Source organism: Homo sapiens, chromosome 15 (genome assembly GCF_000001405.40).
Source record: "Homo sapiens chromosome 15, GRCh38.p14 Primary Assembly".
NCBI classification, from domain to species: Eukaryota; Metazoa; Chordata; class Mammalia; order Primates; family Hominidae; genus Homo; species Homo sapiens.
The window spans coordinates 58,813,956-58,832,751 of NC_000015.10; the positions used below are offsets into that span (position 1 = coordinate 58,813,956).

Here is an 18,796-nt window from a genome sequence, read left to right on the forward strand (position 1 = left end):
GAGATGGAGTATCATTCTGTTGCCCAGGCTGGAGTGCAGTGGCACAATCTTTGCTCAGTGCAGCCTCCTGCTCCCAGGTTCAAGTGATGCTCCTGCCTCGACCTCCCGAGTAGCTGGGATTACAGGCGCCCACCACCATGCCCAGTGAATTTTTTTGTATTTTTAGTAGAGACAGGGTTTCACCATGTTAATCAGACTGGTCATGAACTCCTGACTTCAGGTGATCCACCCGCTTCGGCCTCCCAGAGTGCTGCGATTACAGGCGTGAGCCATCGCACCCAGCCTAATTTGCATTTCTTTAACGGCTAATGATGCTGAACATCTTTTGATGTGCTTGTTTGCCATTTGCATATTCTTTTTAGTAAAATGTCTCTTCATGTCTTTTGCCCACTTTCTAATTAGATTGGTTCTTTACAGTTGAGTTTTGTTTTTGGTTTTGTTTTTTTTTTGACACAGGGTCTTACTGAGTCACCCAGGCTGGAGTGCAGTGGCATGATCATAGCTCACTGCAACCTCAAACTCCTGAGCTCATGTGATCCTCCTGCCTCAGCCTCCTAAGTAGCTGGGCACATGCCACCATACCCTGCTCACTTTTTAATTTTTTGTAGAAATGAGATCTCGCCATATTGCTCAGGCTGGTCTCGAACTCCTGGGCTCAAACCCTCCTCAGCCTCCCAAAGTGTGAGACTACGGCTGTGAGCCACCATGTCCAGCCCTTTTCCCCATTTTTTTTATTTGGCTATGTGTCTTTTTGTAATTGAGTTGCAAATGTTCTTGATGTGTTCTAAGCACAAATCTCTTGTCAGATATATGACTTGGAAATATTCTTTAATTTTAACTTTTTTTTTTTTTTTTTTTAGAAACGGCGTGTCACTGTATGACACGCTTGAACTCCCAGGCTGGTCTTGAACTCCTGGCCTCAAGCAGTCTTCCCACCTCAGCCTCTCAGAGTGCCGAGGTTACAAATGTGAGCCACTGTGCCTGGACTTAATTTCAGTGAAGTTCACTTTATTTTTTCTTTTGTCCCTTATGCTTTTGGTGTCCTACCTAAGAGGGCTTTGCCTAACCAAAAATCAAGAAGATTTAGTTCTTTATTTTCTATTAAGAGTTTTATAGTTTTAGCACTTACATTTATGAATATGGTCAATGTTGGGTTAATTTTTGTATGTGGTTCGAGGAAAGGGCCCAACTTTATTCATATACATGTAGATAGCCAGTTGTCCTAGTACCATTTGCTGAAAAGGTTATTCTTACCCTGTTGAATTGTCTTGAACTTAGCATGAACTTTGTAAAATAAATCCTTCCCTTTACCCTTCCCTCCTCATTGCCTTAAAAGCATCCAGTTTAATTAAAATAAGATTTAAAACTTATAAGTATTTATGGGGTTTTTTTGTTTTTGTTTTTTGTTTTTTTGAGACAGAGTCTCTCTGTGTCACCCAGGCTGGAGTGCAGTGGCACAGTCTTGGTTCACTGCAGCCTCGACCTCCTGTGCTCAAGCAATCCTCCCTACTCGGCCCCCCAGTAGTTGGGACTACAGGTGCACACCAGCACGCCTGGCAATTTTTGTATTTTTTATAGAGACAGGATTTCACCATGTTGCCCAGGCTGGTCTGAAACTCCTAGCCTCAAGCGATCCTCCCACCTTGGCCTCCCAAAGTGCTGCATTACAGGCATGAGCCACTGTGCTTGGCTCAAGAAGAAAGGATATTATTTCCTTCTTTTTCTTTTTTCTTTTTCTTTTTTTTTGGACAGAGTCTCACTCTGTCGCCAGGCTAGAGTGCTATGGCGTGATCTCCTCACTGCAACCTCCATCTCCCGGGTTCAAGTGATTTTCCTGCCTCAGTCTCCTGAGCAGCTGGGACTATAGGCGCGCACCAGCATGCCCAGCTAATCTTTGTATTTTTAGTAGAGACGGGGCTTCATCATGTTGGTCAGGATGGTCTCGATCTCTTGACCTCGTGATCCGTCTGCCTCGGCCTCCCAAAGTGCTGGGATTACAGGCGTGAGCCACCACGCCCAGCCAAAAGGCTATTATTTCTTTACCTGGTTAACTGTCATCTCCCACTAGAATATAGGTTTTATAAGGGCTGGACTCAGCATAGTATTTAGAACAGTGCCTGGCACATAAGTAAATATTGACTGATGGAATGCAGCATACATGTGTGCATCCATTAACTCTAGGAAACCAGAGATCATAATAGCAAGGACTTGGCAGTGCTTTTTTTTCATCTCTGTCCATTGGTAAAAGCTGCTGGGATTCAGGAGAATGGAAGGATGGCTTACTATAAGCAAGGCAACTCTGAGAATTTCACTGAAAAGTCTCAACATGTCCAGCAGTTTATACATCCAAGGTTGGATTCTGGCAGATCAATGCCAGATAATTTAGATTGTGAAGAATGACAGTCTGAGGAATGTAAGCCTGAATTCTTTTTTTTATTTTTAATTCTTTTTTTGTTTGCTTGTTTGTTTTTTTGAGACAAGATCTTGCTCTGTTGCCCAGACTAGAGTGCAGTAGTGTGATCATAGCTCACTGCAGCCTCAGATGGCTCAAGGAATCCTCCCACCTCAGCCTCCCAAGTAGCTGGGGCTGCAGTTGTGCATCAGCATGCCCAGCTCACATACAAAGTATTTTAAATATTGTAATTAAGAATTAAACCAATGACAGAGAATAGAGGCCTAAAAAGATCACTATACAGATAGAACTAGGGCACTCTAGAGCAATGGGGAAAGGCAATCCTTTAAACAAAAGGTTCTAAGACAATTAGGTAGACATAGAGGGAAAAAATGAAACTGTTTCCTACAACTCACACCGCAAAATTCTATTCCATGCGCATTAAAGTTTTAACTGTAAAAGCCAGGTGAGGTGGCATCCCTGTAGTCGCAGTTACTCAGGAGGCTGAGGTAGGAGAATCACTTAAGGCCAGGAGTTTGAGGCTGCAGTGCACTATGATAGCACCTGTGAATAGCCACCGTACTCCAGCCTGGGCAATATACTAAGGTCCTGGCTCTACAAACATGGAGGGGGAAAAAAAAGTTTAACTATAAAAAATAAAACTACAAAAGTTTGAAACTATGTTCCTGATATTATGACATCACTGTACGGAGGGATTTCAAAAACAAGATACAAACCTATTAACTGTAAGGAAACATTAGTAAACATGACTACCTTAAAACTGAGAATTTGTGTTCATCTAAAGGCATTCCAAACAGAATGTAAAAGCAAGCCACAGAGTAGAAGATGAATTGCAACTTTAAAAAATGAATAAAGGATTAATATTCAGAAAGTAGGAGCTCCTACAGATAATTTTTTAAAGATAGCCCAGCCAAAAAAAGGAGCAAATGACTTGAATAGGCACTTCACAAAAACAGATATCCAAATGGCCAATGAACATATGAATTGGTCATCAGAGAAATACAAATTAAAATCAGAATTAGAGACCACTGTACATACATCAGACTGGCTAACATTTAAAAGTCTGATGGTATTACGTTGGGCGCAGTGGCTCACACCTGTAATCCCAGCACTTTGGGAGGCCAAGGCAGGTGGATCACCTGAGGTCAGGAGTTTGAGACGCCTGGCCAACATGGTGAAACCTTGTCTCTATTAAAATACAAAAATTAGCCGGGCATGGTGGTGGGTGCCTGTAATCCCAGCTACTCAGGAGGCTGAGGCAGAGAATTGCTTGAACCCGAGAGGCGGAGGTTGCAGTGAGCTGAGATCGCACCACTGCACTCCAGCCTGGGCGACAGAGCGAGACTCTGTCTCAAAAAACAAAAATAAAAAAATAAAAGTTTGACAATATTAAATGTTGGTGAAGATGTGCAGCATAGAGAATTCTCATTCCTTGTGATGAGAGTGGAAATTGGCCATCTACTTTTGAAACCAGTTTGGTTTATCCATTAAAGTTGATGCTAAGCATTCCTTAAGACTCAGCAATTTGGCAAGGCATACACTCTTGATGAGTGAAAGAGGATAAACGTCCTAGAATTTTTCACAGCAGTGTTATTTGCCATAGTCCGAAACTGAAAACAACTTGAATAGCCATCAAAAGACAAATGAGTAACCACATTATGGTATATTCTATGGAATACTGTACTACAGTGAAAACAAACATCTGCATACCACTATATACAACAACCTTACATTATGTATTTGTTGATTTGGTTTATTATTTGCTTTTACTCTAGAATATAAGCTTTATGAAAGCATAAACCATTTTGCTCACTGTTGTGTCTGTAGATTCTCTAGTGGCACCTTGCATGTAGTAGTATGTAATAGGCATCCAAATAAATTGGATGAATGGAATTCTGGGGGTGGGGGAAGACAAGATCTTACTCTGACACCCAGGCTAGAGTGCAGTGGCGTGATCATAGCTCACTGCAACCTGGTACTTCTGGGCTTAAGCAATCCTGTCTCAGCTTCCTGAGTAGCTGGGACTATAGGCACACACTCCCATGCCTGGCTAGATTTTTTATTTTTTGTGAAGACAGGGCCTTGTTATGTTGCCTAGGATGGTCTCAAATTCCTGGACTGAAGCCGTCCTCCCCTGCTAGCCTCCTAAAGTGCTGGGATTATAGACATGAGCCACTACACCTGGCCTTGAGTGAAATACTAATGTACAGATTCTGTCTATGAATATTTGACATCTTTTTTTATTGGTACTCTAGAGAAATAGATTTGATTTTTGTATATTGATTTTTTTTTTTTTTTTTTGAGACAGTGTTTTTGTTCTTGCTACCCAGGTGTGATCTCGGCTCACTGCAACCTCCACCTCCCAGTTTCAAGTGATCCTCCTGTCTCAGCCTCCCAAGTAGCTGGGATTACTGGTGCCCACCACCACGCCTGGCTAATTTTTTGTATTTTTTGTAGAGATGGGGTTTCCTCGTGTTGGCCAGGCTGGTCTGGAACTGCTGACCTCAGGTGATCTGCCCACCTCAGCTTCCCAAAGTGCTGGGATTACAGGCATGAGCCACTATGCCCAGCCTATTGATCTTGTGTTTATTATTGTAGTTGGGTTTTGGGGGGTTTTGTTTTGTTTTAGAGACAGTGTCTTGCTGCATTGCCCAGGCTGATGTGTAGTAGCATGATCATAGCTCATTGCAGCCTTGAACTCCTGGACTCAAGCGATCCTTTCCTCAGCCTCTTGAATAGCTGGGACTATGGACGTGCACCACCATGTCCAGCTAATTAAAAAGAAAAATTTTTTTAGAGGCCTTGCATGGTGGCTAACGCCTGTGATCCCAACATTTTGAAAGACCAAGATGGGAGAATTGCTTGAGCCCAGGAGTTTGAGACCAGCCTGGACAACGTAATGAGACCTGTCTCTACAAAAAATTTAAAAATTAGCTGGGTGTGGTGGCGTCTGCCTGTAGTCCCAGCTATGCAGGAGGCTGAGGTGGAAGGATTGCTTGAGCCTGGGAGGTCGAGGCTGCAGTGGGCTGTGATCACGCCACTACATTCCAGCAAGAGTGACACAGTGAGACCCAGATCACACCACTGCACTCCAGCGTGGGTGACAGAGCGTGGGAGACAGAGTAAGAAAAAAATCTCAAAAATATTTTTATTTTATTTTTAGAGACAGGAGTTTTGCTGTGTTACTCAGACTGGTCTTGAACTCCCGGCCTCAAGATACCCTCCTGCCTCAGCCTCCTAAATTGTTTGCATTACTGGTGTGAGCCACCACACCCAACTTAGTGTAGCTATATTTTTGTGGATTTCTTAGAATTGAAAATTCAGATTATTTGAAAAGACTTACTGAAGTTGAGTCACTAATGAAAAGCACTATAAAGTAAAGGTGTTGAGGAAAATAACATCTGAACAGATTGTGCCCTCAAATTGTTTCTTAAGGGTCTAACTTCTCATTTCACATAAATCAAAGCTGGAACTCATAGATGTTTTTTTGTGCAATGTACATAGAATCTTATCCCAAGGATCCTCTCGCAAAGAAAAGGATTTGGCACTGCATCAAAAGATTGACCATTGAATACATTTTTGTGTTTTAAGTTAATGTGAAATGTTTAAGATATGGGCCAGGCACAGTGGCTCACACCTGTAATCCCAGCACTTTGGGAGACTGAGGCAGGCAGAGTACTTGAGGTCAGGAGTTCAAGACCATCCTGGCCAACATAGTGAAACCGCAACTCTACTAAAAATACAAAAATTAGTTGGGCATGGTGGCGTGCACCTGTAGTCTCAGCTACTAGGGAGGCTGAGGCAGGAGAGTCGCTTGAACCCAGGAGGCAGAGGTTGCAGTGAGCCAAGACTGTGTCAGTGCACTCTAGCCTGGCGACAGAGTGAGATTCCATCTCAAAACAAACAAACAAACAAACAAACAAAAATTAGTCAGGTGTGGTGGCGGGCGCCTGTAATCCCTGCTACTCAGGAGGCTGAGGCAGGAGAATCACTTGAACCCAGGAGGTGGAGGTTGCAGTGAGCCGAGGTCACACCACTGCACTCCAGCCTGGGCAACAGAGTGAGACTCCATCTCAAAAAAAAAAAAAAAAAGTTTAAGATATTTATGCCTGTAAACATTTTCCACAATTTCCTGCTGTGACTTTTTGAATTAACTGATTGTTTACTCAACCAATCATCAGTTCCAGTTGTATGAGTTAAGAGGCTTTTAGTATTGTAGACTTTTTCATAAACAAGGAAAATAAATTATAGCATAGAATGGTGGTTCTCAAACTTCGCTATGCATCGGAATCACCTGGGCAGTGGAATGAAAACTTAGACAATTGAGAAGCAACATGAGCCTGAAATTCTTTTACATCTTTTTAACAAGCTCCCCGAGTTTGAAAACCACTGCTGTGAGTATTGTGCAGATATATGTTGAGACCTGTGGTATTCAAAGAGTAAGTCTTCAAGGTGATCATTTGAATGTAGGAAGAAAACATTGGCCCTCTTATTTTTATTTATGTAATTCTAAAATTTGTATTTGTTTTATTAGATATATAACTTACTTATACAGCAATACACATAAATAATTTATAAATAAATATAAATATATTTTTATATATGGAAAGGCAACTATATAAGTTGTTTAGACAGTAGAAACCTCTTTTTCTTCTATAGTCAAAGCAAAGTGTAATGGAGAGAGAGAAGCCCAATTTTATTTTCCTATAGCTTAAAAGTTTAAGTTTACTGTACTGCTGTACCTCTAAAAACAAAGATTAAATAAGAATCATGGCGCATATCCCATCCCCCATTAACATATATTAACTTTTCTTCAGGAAAATAACATTAGTTATCTCTACTCATATCTCCACTATACTTTTCTAGGAAATAAGTAATAAAATGGAATAATTTTATTAATCCTATAAATTAACATATTTAAAGTTGCCTTGCTTTAAATGTGCAACATTTGTTTTTTAGTTAAAAAAAAAAAAAACTTGATACTTTATGCTGGGAGAAAAAAATGGATATTTTCTTATTTTTTCTTCTGGAATAGTTTATGTTTTATTTTGATCACTTAAATACATGTTTATGACCTTAAGAAATAAAGTTGCATGTAATAATCCCATTTAATCTTATTTTGCATAATTAAAATAATACAACTGCAGTATTTTTCATAATGTGTCCTACTGAGCTGTAAACAAACTTGGAAACTGTTGGGTGTTGATTTTAGTGCTGATTTTGTTTTTCGTAAATAATAGTTTTATATTTAGTATTATATTAGAATAAAATTCTAAAGAGTGATATGGCTTTCTTTTGTTTTGTTCCTAATCTTACCATGATTAGTGAGACAGTCATTTGTTTTCTAGATTGATGACATTGTAAAAGCTGTTGGTAACTGCAGCTACAACCAACTAGTGGAGAAGATCATCTCTTGTAAACAGTCAGACAATAGTGAGCTGGTTAGTGAAGGTGGGTGAGTGCTGCTATTTCCTGACTTTTGAAATTCTTGGCAAGATAATTTTTCTTATAACTTAATATCTTTCAAATTTCTTAAATAAGACTTCTAAAAAACACATGTTATATTACTTGTATGAATTTTAAGAAGTAACCATCCATAGGCTGGGCACAGTGGCTCCCGCCTGTAATCCCAGCATTTTGAGAGGCCAAGGCAGGCAGATCACCTGAGGACAGGAGTTCAGGATCAGCCTGGCCAACATGATGAAACCACGTGTCTACTAAAAATACAACAAAAAATTAGTTGGCCATGGTGTTGCATGCCTGTAATCCCAGCTACTCAGGAGGCTGAGGCAGGAGAATCGCTTGAACCCAGGAGGTGGAGGTTGTAGTGAGCCGAGATTGCGCCGCTGTACTCCACCCTGGGCAACAGAGTGACTCTGTATCAAAAAAAAAAAAAAGAAGAAGAAGTAATCATTCATAAAGGTGCCAATGAAAGGTTTTTCCTAGAACTCTTTTTCATTTAACTTGTAAAATCAGGCCTGGATTCTATTAAAAATTTTTGGAATCACTTGCTAACTTTGGTATGGTCAGGTACCCAGAGGTTACTGATAATTACTTTCTTAAAAAATGTTTATTATTTAGGAGTCCTGAATGGACTTTATCATTGATCCTGAATACTTCAACTGACTGAGATGAGTATTATGGTGCTCAAGTACTCTAGATTTTAGTAGACCTCTGCTTTATATTTCAGTATAATACAATATTAAAGCCCCATTCTGGATCAGAGTATGCCTCTGAAAATCAGTTTTTCTAATCCTTAGCTAACTGGAATTCCTAAATTCATCGTCACAAAATCAGTTTAATATTTTTTCAACTGTGTTCCAGTCAATGATGAGAAAAGGAGATTTGAAACAGAATGCTATCAAAAGGCATAGCATGTAGATATACCTTCTCAGTCCCCACTTCACTCTTTCAAAAATATACATAAATACTGAGGCTATAATTCTTCTGTCTGTGAAAGGGAAACAAAAGAGAAAGAGAAATCATGAGAAGTAGGGCATGAGTTTTAGTCTCTCTCAGACACACAATTATTTTACATAAGATATAATAAAAGTTTATTACAATTATCACATTTTTAAGAATTAAAACTAACGACTACAGGAGCATATGAGCATATAAAAGATATGTACATGAATTCCATCTATATTAATCAGAATCCAACTAATTACATTACTTAATTATCCAGAAGTTTAACACATTTTTGCAAAAGAGGAAAATAAGAAGAAAATGCATAGTATTTTAGTTAAGGTTTATCCTAATCTTTTTTTTTTCTTTTTTTTTTTTTTTGATACGGAGTTTCACTCTTGTTGCCCAGGCTGGAGTGCAATGGCGCGATCTCAGCTCACTGCAACCTCCGCCTCCCAGGATGAAGCCATTCTCCTTCCTCAGCCTCCTGAGTAGCTGGGATTACAGGCATGCAATAATTTTGTATTTTTAGTAGAGATGGGATTTTGTCATGTTGGTCAAGCTGGGAGGTTTATGCTATTCTTCTACTTGCAGTAAACATATAAAGATACAGGGACAGGCTGGACATTGTGGCCCACACCTGTAATCCCAGCACTTTGGGAGGCTGAGGCGGGAGGATTGCTTGAGCCCAGGAGTTTGAGACTAGCCTGGGCAATGTAGCAAGATCCCATCTCTAAAAAATAAAAATAAAAAATTAGCCAGGCACCTCTAGCTCCACGTACTTGGGAGGCTGAGGCTGAAAGATCACTTGAGCCCAGGAGGTCAAGGCTGCAGTGAGCCAATATCATGCCACTACACTCCAGCCTGGGCAACAGAACAGAATCTGTCTCAAAAACAAAACAAAACAAAACAAAACAAAAAACAGTATAGAGTCGTTGATCATTGATTCATCTGACAACTCTTTTGTTACAGCATGAGGCAGCAGTGTTCAAATTTTAGGAGAGAAAGAAGCAATAAAAACTATTACAAAAGTATATTCTCTCAATTAACAAAATTCCTTCTCAATGAGCTAGAATGTATGGGGAAAAAAATTCCACTCACTAGAAGTTTGCATTCCTATACAAGCTCTCATTACCATAGATAATTACTAAAAAGAAGCTCCTATTTTAAAAATGTCTATCTACGGAATCCTTCTTTTTCAGTAATGTCCAATATACCAGAGTATGCTATTCAGTAGTACTTGAAGGAACAATAGGATTCAGAAAGTGGTAACAGACAGAATGCTAGCCAAGAAGTAATACTTGGATAAACTGACTTATGGAGTATGAAGCTATGTGAAACACTGTTAACATCTTTCCCAATTCTGGCTACAAATACAGTAAGGGTAGGACTTAGTACTATAATAATTAACAAAATGAACAAAAAAATCAGTTCCTTCATTACTTCTTTTTCCTTAACCTGATGTCACAAATATTATTATTTCTCTGACATTGATTCCTCAGGATAATGAAAAACTATAGTTAATATATGTGTTATTGATAATTTAGGAAGAACATCATGGTGAAAGCAAAGAAAGAAACCCTCTAAAATGGTATAGAATTTTTAGGGAATATCTGCTGGGCATATTTATTACTTCCTTGATATATAAATTTCATAATGATGAAATTCTACATACCATATTTCCATATTAAAGAATAATTATATGTGTCATTTAGCATAATTAAAAAGCTAAACTAGATTTTTGTTCATAAGTAACTACAAATTTGTAGTTCATTTGAAATAATTACTTAACTCCAATGGTTACTTGTATAAGACACTAAGAAATCATGGAAAATAAAAGACCGTAATAGACATTTTTACTTACTTTGCAGCAATTAGCTTTTCTTCATCATATTATCTTTTTTTTTTTTTTTTTTGAGACAGTCTCGCTCTGTCACCCAGGCTGGAGTGTAGTGGCACGATCTCGGCTCACTGTAACCTCTGCCCCATGGATTCAAGCAATTCTCCTGCCTCAGCCTCCTGAGTAGCTGGGACTACAGGCATGTGCCACCATGCCCGACTAATTTTTGTATTTTTAGTAGAGATGAGATTTCACCATGTTGGCCAGGCTGGTCTCAAACTCCTGACCTCAGGTGATCCGCCAGCCTCAACCTCCCAAAGTGCTGCAACTACAGGCATAAGCCACCTCGCCCAGCCCATCATATATCATATTATCTTGAGTGGTGTTCAGTTAAAGTAATCTGCTTTCATTTTCTGTTTAGCCTGCAATTGTAGCTTTCCCTTTAAATCAATAAAATACCTCAAAGCCGACTTGTTTCTAATCTTTATTAAAAAATAAGTTTTGGTCACAGGTGATAACTTTTTAAAAATTCAAACATTTTATTTCCTATCAAGGTATGAGGAATAAGAAATACATTCACTAACATTCCTTTTTAAGGGAAAAGAAATGTTATTTAGCAAATAATCAAATAGAGTTAGGTGTTCTTTCAACTTCTTTTAGATAACATTTGCTTTCCTTGATTCTAATGCCTTATAAGTAAAGGTGCAGAACTTTTACTTTACGTAGAATACTTAATTGTAGAATACACTGCTTTCGGGTGTCGATACCTTTTTTATTTTCTACTTCTTTTCCAGTACAATGATGAATAGAAACAATACCTTTTTGAATCTGGTTGTGATGATGCTGATTTTTCATGGCAGCAAAAATCAGCAAGTTTAAAAAAAAGCGCAGTACCAGCAGCCAGACTTCACCATAGCTATTCATTTAATTCCAGATGCTCTCAGGAATGGTTCTTTTTTGTCTGTTTGTTTGTTTGTGTGGTGTTTGTTTGTTTGTTTGTTTTGAGACAGAGTCTTGCTCAGCTGCCCAGGCTGGAGGCTGGAGTGCAGTGGTACAATTTTGGCTCACTGCAACCTCTGCCTCCCAGGTTCAAGCAATTCTTCTGCCTTAGCCTCCCAGGTAGCTGGGACTACAGGCTCACGCCACCACGCTGGCTAATTTTTTGTATTTTTAGGTGAGACAGGGTTTCACCATGTTGCCCAGGCTGGTCTCAAACTCCTGACATCAGGTGATCCTCCCACCTCAGCCTCCCAAAGTGCTGGGATTACAGGCGTGAGATGCCATACCCAGCCTAGGAATGTTTCTTTAACAGTTGTTCCTAGGACAAAAATATGCTTATAAAAATATTTCTAGGATATGTATTCGTTAATTCAAATATTTATTGAGCCTTTATTATGTGCCATAGACACTGAACATTATAGTTTGGCTTATTATTATTTTTATTAAATAATATTGGTTTCCTTTTCTTTTTCTTTCTTCAACTTTTATTTTAAAAAATCTCAAACCTATAAAAAAGGTTGTAATAGCACAGTGAACATTTATATGCTCTTTATGTAAATTTACCAATTGTTGATATGTTGAATGTTTTCTTTTTTTCTGTATTCACACAATCTTTTTTTTTTTTTTTTTTTTTGAGATGGAGTTTTGCTCTTGTTGCCCAGGCTGGAGTACAATGGCGCAACCTTGGCTTACCACAACCTCTGCCTCCCAGGCTCAAGCGATTCTCCTTCCTCGGCCTCCCAAGTAGCTGGGATCACAGGCATGCGCCACCACACCTGGCTAATTTTGTATTTTTAGTAGAGATGGGGTTTCTCTGTGTTGGTCAAGCTGGTCTCGAACTCCCAACCTCAGGTGATCCGCCCGCCTTGGCCTTCCAAAGTGCTGGTATTACAGACATGAGCCACTGCACCTGGCCCCACACACTCTTTTTCCCTAAATCTTGTGAGAATTAATTGCAAATATAGCACTTTACCTGTAAATGCTTCATCATTTGTCTCCTAAGAACAAGGAATTCTCTTATATAAATTCTCCTATATAATCACAATGCAATTATTTCAAGCAATTTAGCATTGATACAATATTATTTAATATATTGTTCATATCAGAATTCTCCCGTTTTCCCAGTAATGCCCCTAATAGCTTTTAATTTTTTTCAATGGAGGCTCCAATTATGGATCATTTAGTTGTCACATCTCTTTAGTCTTCTGTAATCTAGAATAGTTCTGTAACCTTATTCCTTCCTCCCTCCCTTCCTCCCTTCCTTCCTTCATTTCTCCTTTCCTCCCTTGCTTCCTCACTCCTTTCCTTCCTTGCTTCCTCCCTCCTTTCCTTCCTTTTTTGTCGTTTATGACATTGACTTTTTAAAATAGTCCAGGCCAGTTGTTCCACAGAATATTCCTCAATTTGGATTCATCTGATTATTTCCTCATTAGTAGATTCAGGTTATATATTTTTGGCAGGGATGCTACGTAGGTGACATTGTGTCTTTCCCAGTGCATCAAATCGGGGGCACATGAGCCTGATTATCTCATTATTGGTGATGTTCAAATATGATAAGATAATATCTGCCAGGTTTTTATATTGTAAAGATGTCCTTTTCCCTTGGTAGTTAATAAGTCACCTGTGATATTATTCTTTGAACTGTGTGAATATGCTATTCGTTAATAATCTTTAACCAGGTAGATTTGGCATCCATTGGTTCTTGCCTGAATCAGTTATTACTGTGGTGGTTATAATTTCTGTTATTCCTTCTGTTTATTAGTTGTTATTCTTCTGTAACAGAACAGTTTTCCCTTCTCTTCCTTCTCCTCTTTCCCCATTAAAAAAAATTGTATCCATATAAACTCATGGATTCCTTTTTATTCAGACAGAACGGAGTCTTGTTGTGTCATCCAGGCTGGAGTGTAGTGGCGCGATCTCGGCTCACTGTAAGCTCCGCCTTCCGGGTTCATGCCGTTCTCTTGCCTCAGCCTCCCGAGTAGCTGAGACTACAGGCGCCCGCCACCACGGCCGGCTAATTTTTTTGTACTTTTAGTAGAGACAGGGTTTCACCGTGGTCTCGATCTCCTGACCTCGTGATTCTCCCGCCTCGTCCTCCCAAAGTGCCGGGATTACAGGCATGAGCCACCGTGCCTGGCCTATTCAGTGTATTATAATCCATTATCATTATTCTTTTTGATGCTTTAATTGTTCTAAATGTGATATGGCCAGTGGGATGCCCTCAAGTTGGGTCTTGTGTTCTTTTGTATCTCCTCATCTTTACTTAAGCACTTATTTTTTGGCACAGTAAAATGTTCTGGGCTCCCTACTGCACTCCTGGAATCAAATCATATGAGTGGGCTGGGCGCAGTGGCTCATGCCTGTAATCCCAGCACTTTGGGAGGCCGAGGTGGGTGGATCACCTGAGGTCAGGAGTTCGAGACCAGCCTGGCCAACATGGTGAGACCCTGTCTGTACTAAAAATACAAAAAATTAGCTGGGTGTGCAGTGAGCCGAGATAGCGCCACTGCACTCCAGTCTGGAAACGGAGTGAGACTCCATCTCAAAAAAAAAAAAAATCATATGAGCTTTTATCTTTTCAAGTAAAATCTGGGCATTTGTCATTAAAATAAATTGTTTTGCCCATCCTTTTGAGGAAAAAATACATTAATGTATTTGATCTTTGAAACTTAAATGTAGATTAAATTCTTAAAAGTTAGATTGTTTAAAGCTGTCACAGTGACAAGTTAAGTTCTCACTAAGCTTAAATTTGAACACAAATCTGAGACAGGACCACATCTAGGCAACATTTTAAAATAAATCAAGTTTCCTTCCTTCCTATTTCTACTTTCTATTCCTTTTTGACTAATTATAGTACCTCTGTAACTTCACCATCTTTAAGGCATTCATCACTTTCATGTTCTCTAATAACTGTCCAGTAACAGAGGAAAACAGTTTAATGAACTAATTTATTATTGAATTTCTTTTTTTTTTTTTTTTTTTTTTGTCACCCAGGCTGGAGTGCAGTGGTGCGATCTCGGCTCACTGAAAGCTCCGCCTCCCAGTTCACGCCATTCTCCTGCCTCAGCCTCCCGGGTAGCTGGGACTACAGGCGCCTGCCACCATGCCTGGCTAATTTTTTTGTATTTTTAGTAGAGACGGGGTTTCACCAGGTAAGTCAGGATGGTCTCGATCTCCTGACCTCATGATCCGCCCGCCTTCCAAAGTGCTGGGATTACAGGCATGAGCCACTGCGCCCAGTCTTAAATTTCTGAATGTAAGAAATATTTTCAAATATAGTAATCTTCTCAGGAAAATAAGGCTTAATTTAAATTTATTTTCATGAATAATACTCTATTATCATTAAGTTTTTTACCTTTAGTATCATCAATTACAATAACAATAAAATTGAGATTTAATGTGAATGTTGTAATAAACTGGATTATTTGAATCAATAACACCTCTTTGAGCGTTATAATGATTCTCTGATAAGTTTACAAATAAATAAACTGCTGTGTAACACTTACAGTTGTTTTCCAAAATTTGTTTAAATAGTTGTAAAAAGTTGAAACTAGATTGAGCTTTTCAATAAAGGCTAATTAATTATAAAAATTTAAAACTAGGTTAGCCTTTTCCACTAAAACCACTGTTTAAGAGATGACAGGAGAATTACGAAACATTGTTTTTTCTAGTTCTTAATAAGCTATGCTTTATGGTTTTGGGAGAGATATAATTCAAGTGGCATTTATAATACTCATCTGCAATAAATTTTAAAATTTAATATCCATAATAATTCTCCTAGGTTACTGTCTTCCCTTTGCCATAACTAGTTTGATGTCCTTGGGCAAGTCACTTATTCTCTCTGAGCCTATGTCCTATTCTGTAAAAAGAAGTAGCTGAGAAAGACCTTTCTAATGTTGAATTTTTGGATTTCACACTAACATGAAAGTAATGTGCTATATCTCCACTGAATTTCTGTGTCTTTTTGAAAGGGATCTGTGGAGAGGATATTGGGTGAGTAAGGTATGGAAGGGGCTTTTAAAAACATCTTTCTGAAGGGAACATTTAGTAATACAGATATTACAGACGGCAGTGGTACTTTTCAGCACAGGCATACCCAAGAAGTTGCAAGTATTCAATGAATTTCTTTTGGCTGTAGACCTCTTTATAGTTTTTGTACTTCTATCATAACAAAGTCCTTGCAATAGTGTGATAATTATAGTGTGGTAAGTTTTTACAACCACTTTGTAGCTTGAAGTACTATGGTTTGACACTAAGGGATGTCGAGGGAGTGGAATAAACCTATGTTATCTGCTTCTGGCACTACCAAGTTTTCTTTTCAATTTATTGTTGAAGTGTTAGTTTCATACCACAGATTTATCTTTAGTCCCTGTATCTATATCTCTCAGATCACTTATGAAACTTTTTAGGGCATTCCCTTCCCTCCTCCCCCATTGCTTCCGAGACATCTCTACTTACTCCAAAAGGAAGGAGGGAAAGAAGAAGAGAAATACAAGTTTAAAAAATATGTATACAGTTGATTCTCATTATTCATGGTAGCTATGTTCTATAAAGTTACTGTGAACACTGAATTAGTGAATGCTGAACCACTGTCCCTAGGATAAATATGAGTGAGTTTTTAAGGAGCATTTGGTAACATTTTCATCAGCTGATCAGTACATAAACTTGTTTTATGTGTGTTTCTGTTAAACACACCTTATTTAATATATACTGTTGATTCACTAGCGTTAAACTCACAGCCAACAGCACTACAGATAGAATATCCCTAATCTGAAAATCCAAAATCCAAAATGCTCCAAAATCTAAACACCAACATGACGCTCACAGGAAATGCTCATTGGAGGATTTCAGATTTCTCATTTTCAGATTAGGGATGCTCAGCTGATCAGTATAATGCAGACATTCCAAAATCCAAAAGAATCCACACCCAAAACCCTTCTGATCTCAAGCATTTTAGATAAGTGATACTCAACCTGTATAACTCATGCCTGAACGAAACCTATCTAGCACATGTATTTTCTCTATAAGGCACATCACAGCCTTTGTCTACTGAATGCTAGCCAGCACTTTGGCATTATGCTTGGATGCTGTTTGAAACAGCAAAATCACCAACAGAAAGCATAAAAATGTGAAAAACATGGCACTAAATAGACCATGAAAGGGACACTTGTTTACAGTATGCGAGAGAGCTGAAGCAAGAAGGCAGAATGTTGCCTTGTTTGACCTCAGCTGGGAATGTGCACATTGGGCCACTCAGAATTTTCACCAGTCTTCACATGTCCACAAACAAGCATGAAAATGCTGCAAGTATTGATTTGGGGGATCTAAATAAATTTTAGCCAGTTAGATGAACTTGTAGATATGAACTTGCAATGAGGATCGATTGTGTATATGAAGATCAGTTGTGTGTGTGTGTGTGTGTGTGTGTGTATATATATATATATATATGTTTTAAATTATACCCCGGATCACTTCTGTATATTTTATTGTATTTCAAAAACAAAAGCCATAATATCTATTTCCGAACTTGATACATCTACATGAGTGGCATATGTTGGAGGAGATTAGCATAAAAATGGCATAAAAAACCATTAAAAATGGCATCATTTATCCCACGGCTTTCTGTTCAGCCTTATGCCTACTTTTAGTTTTAAAGCAAGAATTGAGAAGTTTACAACTTAAGAATTATCTAGGATTTTTGTGAAATCTTAAGCTACTCAATTTATTAGGGCTACTTTTAATTTGAAAACACCTTGCTATTGGGAGGTAGCTGTTGACTGACATTTTTCTTTCCCACCCATTTTTAAAATTGCCTGACACCTGTCTTTTTACTTGCTTTCATGGCTTTTAGTTTTATTGTGTCTGCTTTTTTACTGCAACCTGCATGAAATCCTTTGTAATAGTAGGTGAAGTATAAGTAAATGCATTTGTTTATAAAAAAGAATTTCACATAACTATTTAGGATAGGAATGTCTGTATACACATATTTCATTGCAAAATTAAAAACACAAATGTCCAGTTTGGAGCCATCATAAAGTAGTAGGGAAAGTATTATAATTATTGGCCTTTTTCCATACTTGGAACACACTTTAAATAGAAAAAGAATAACTTTTTGATTTTGAAATTATTCTTCTATCTAATGTTATGCATTGGTTCTATAGGCTTTGTAGCTGAGCAGTTTCTAAATAACACAGCCACTCAACTGACATACCATGGATTATGTGAACTAACTTCAACGGTTCAGGAAGGAGAACTTTGTGTGTTCTTTCGGAATAATCATTTTAGCACCATGACCAAATACAAGGTATGATATAGAAATAGCTATTTAATCGTGATTCTAAATCAAAGGAGCTTGATTTAGAGTTGTCTTTTGATCTGCTTATAAATAAAAGATTTTAGCGTAATATTTCTTAACCATCAAATTATGAAGGTAATTATTAAATACAGTACTTCTTAAGGATGGGATGGATTAACAATTGAAGCATTACCTCAAATCACTTTTTGTTTTTTAATTCTCAACTTCTTTTTCACAGATCTTTGCAGTAAGAAGTATTTTATTATTTTCTTTCTGAGAGAAAAAAAAGATAAACCCTAGAGATAGAACTAGGATGACTTCTTTTTTTTTTTTTTTGAAATGGAATTTCGCTCTTGTTGCCCAGGCTGGAGTGCAATGGCGTGATCTCGGCTCACTGCAACCTCTGCCTCCCAGGTTCAGGCGCTTCTCCTACCTCAGCTTCCCGAGTAGCTGGGATTACAGGCATGCACCACCATGCCTGGCTAATTTTTGTGTATTTTTAGGAGAGATGGGGTTTCTCCATGTTGGTCAGGCTGGTGTCAAACTCCTGACCTCAGGTGATCGCCCGCCTCAGCCTCCCAAAGTGCTGGGATTACAGGCGTGAGCCACCATGCCCAGACTTTTTTTTTTTTCTTTCTTGAGACAGAGTTTCACTCTTGTTGCCCAGGCTGGAGTACAATGGCGTGATTTCAGTTCACCGCAACCTCCGCCTCAGGTTCAAGCAATTCTACTGCCTCAGCCTCCCGAGTAGCTGGGATTATAGGTATGCGCCACCACACCTGGCTAATTTTGTGTTTTTAGTAGAGACAGGGTTTCTCCATGTTGGTCAGGCTGGTCTCAAACT

At 38.6% G+C, this 18,796-nt stretch overlaps 1 protein-coding gene across 13 annotated transcripts in view; it reads left to right on the forward strand.

The window, feature by feature from the left end:
• The window catches only part of MINDY2 (MINDY lysine 48 deubiquitinase 2), a 90,599-nt gene that overhangs the window by 42,654 nt on the left and 29,149 nt on the right, over positions 1-18,796 (forward strand). For 8 of the 13 annotated variants that reach the window (XM_011521687.3, XM_011521688.3, XM_011521689.3 and 5 more), the window contains 2 exons: positions 7,762-7,864; positions 17,819-17,961. The exons of 4 other annotated variants lie outside the window; for them this stretch is intronic. In XM_011521687.3, coding sequence (XP_011519989.1) covers positions 7,762-7,864; positions 17,819-17,961 — 246 coding nt within the window. Of the gene's footprint in view, positions 1-7,761; positions 7,865-17,818; positions 17,962-18,796 lie in introns of those variants that run through there. One more of the 13 variants, XM_017022335.3, reaches the window with a different exon arrangement.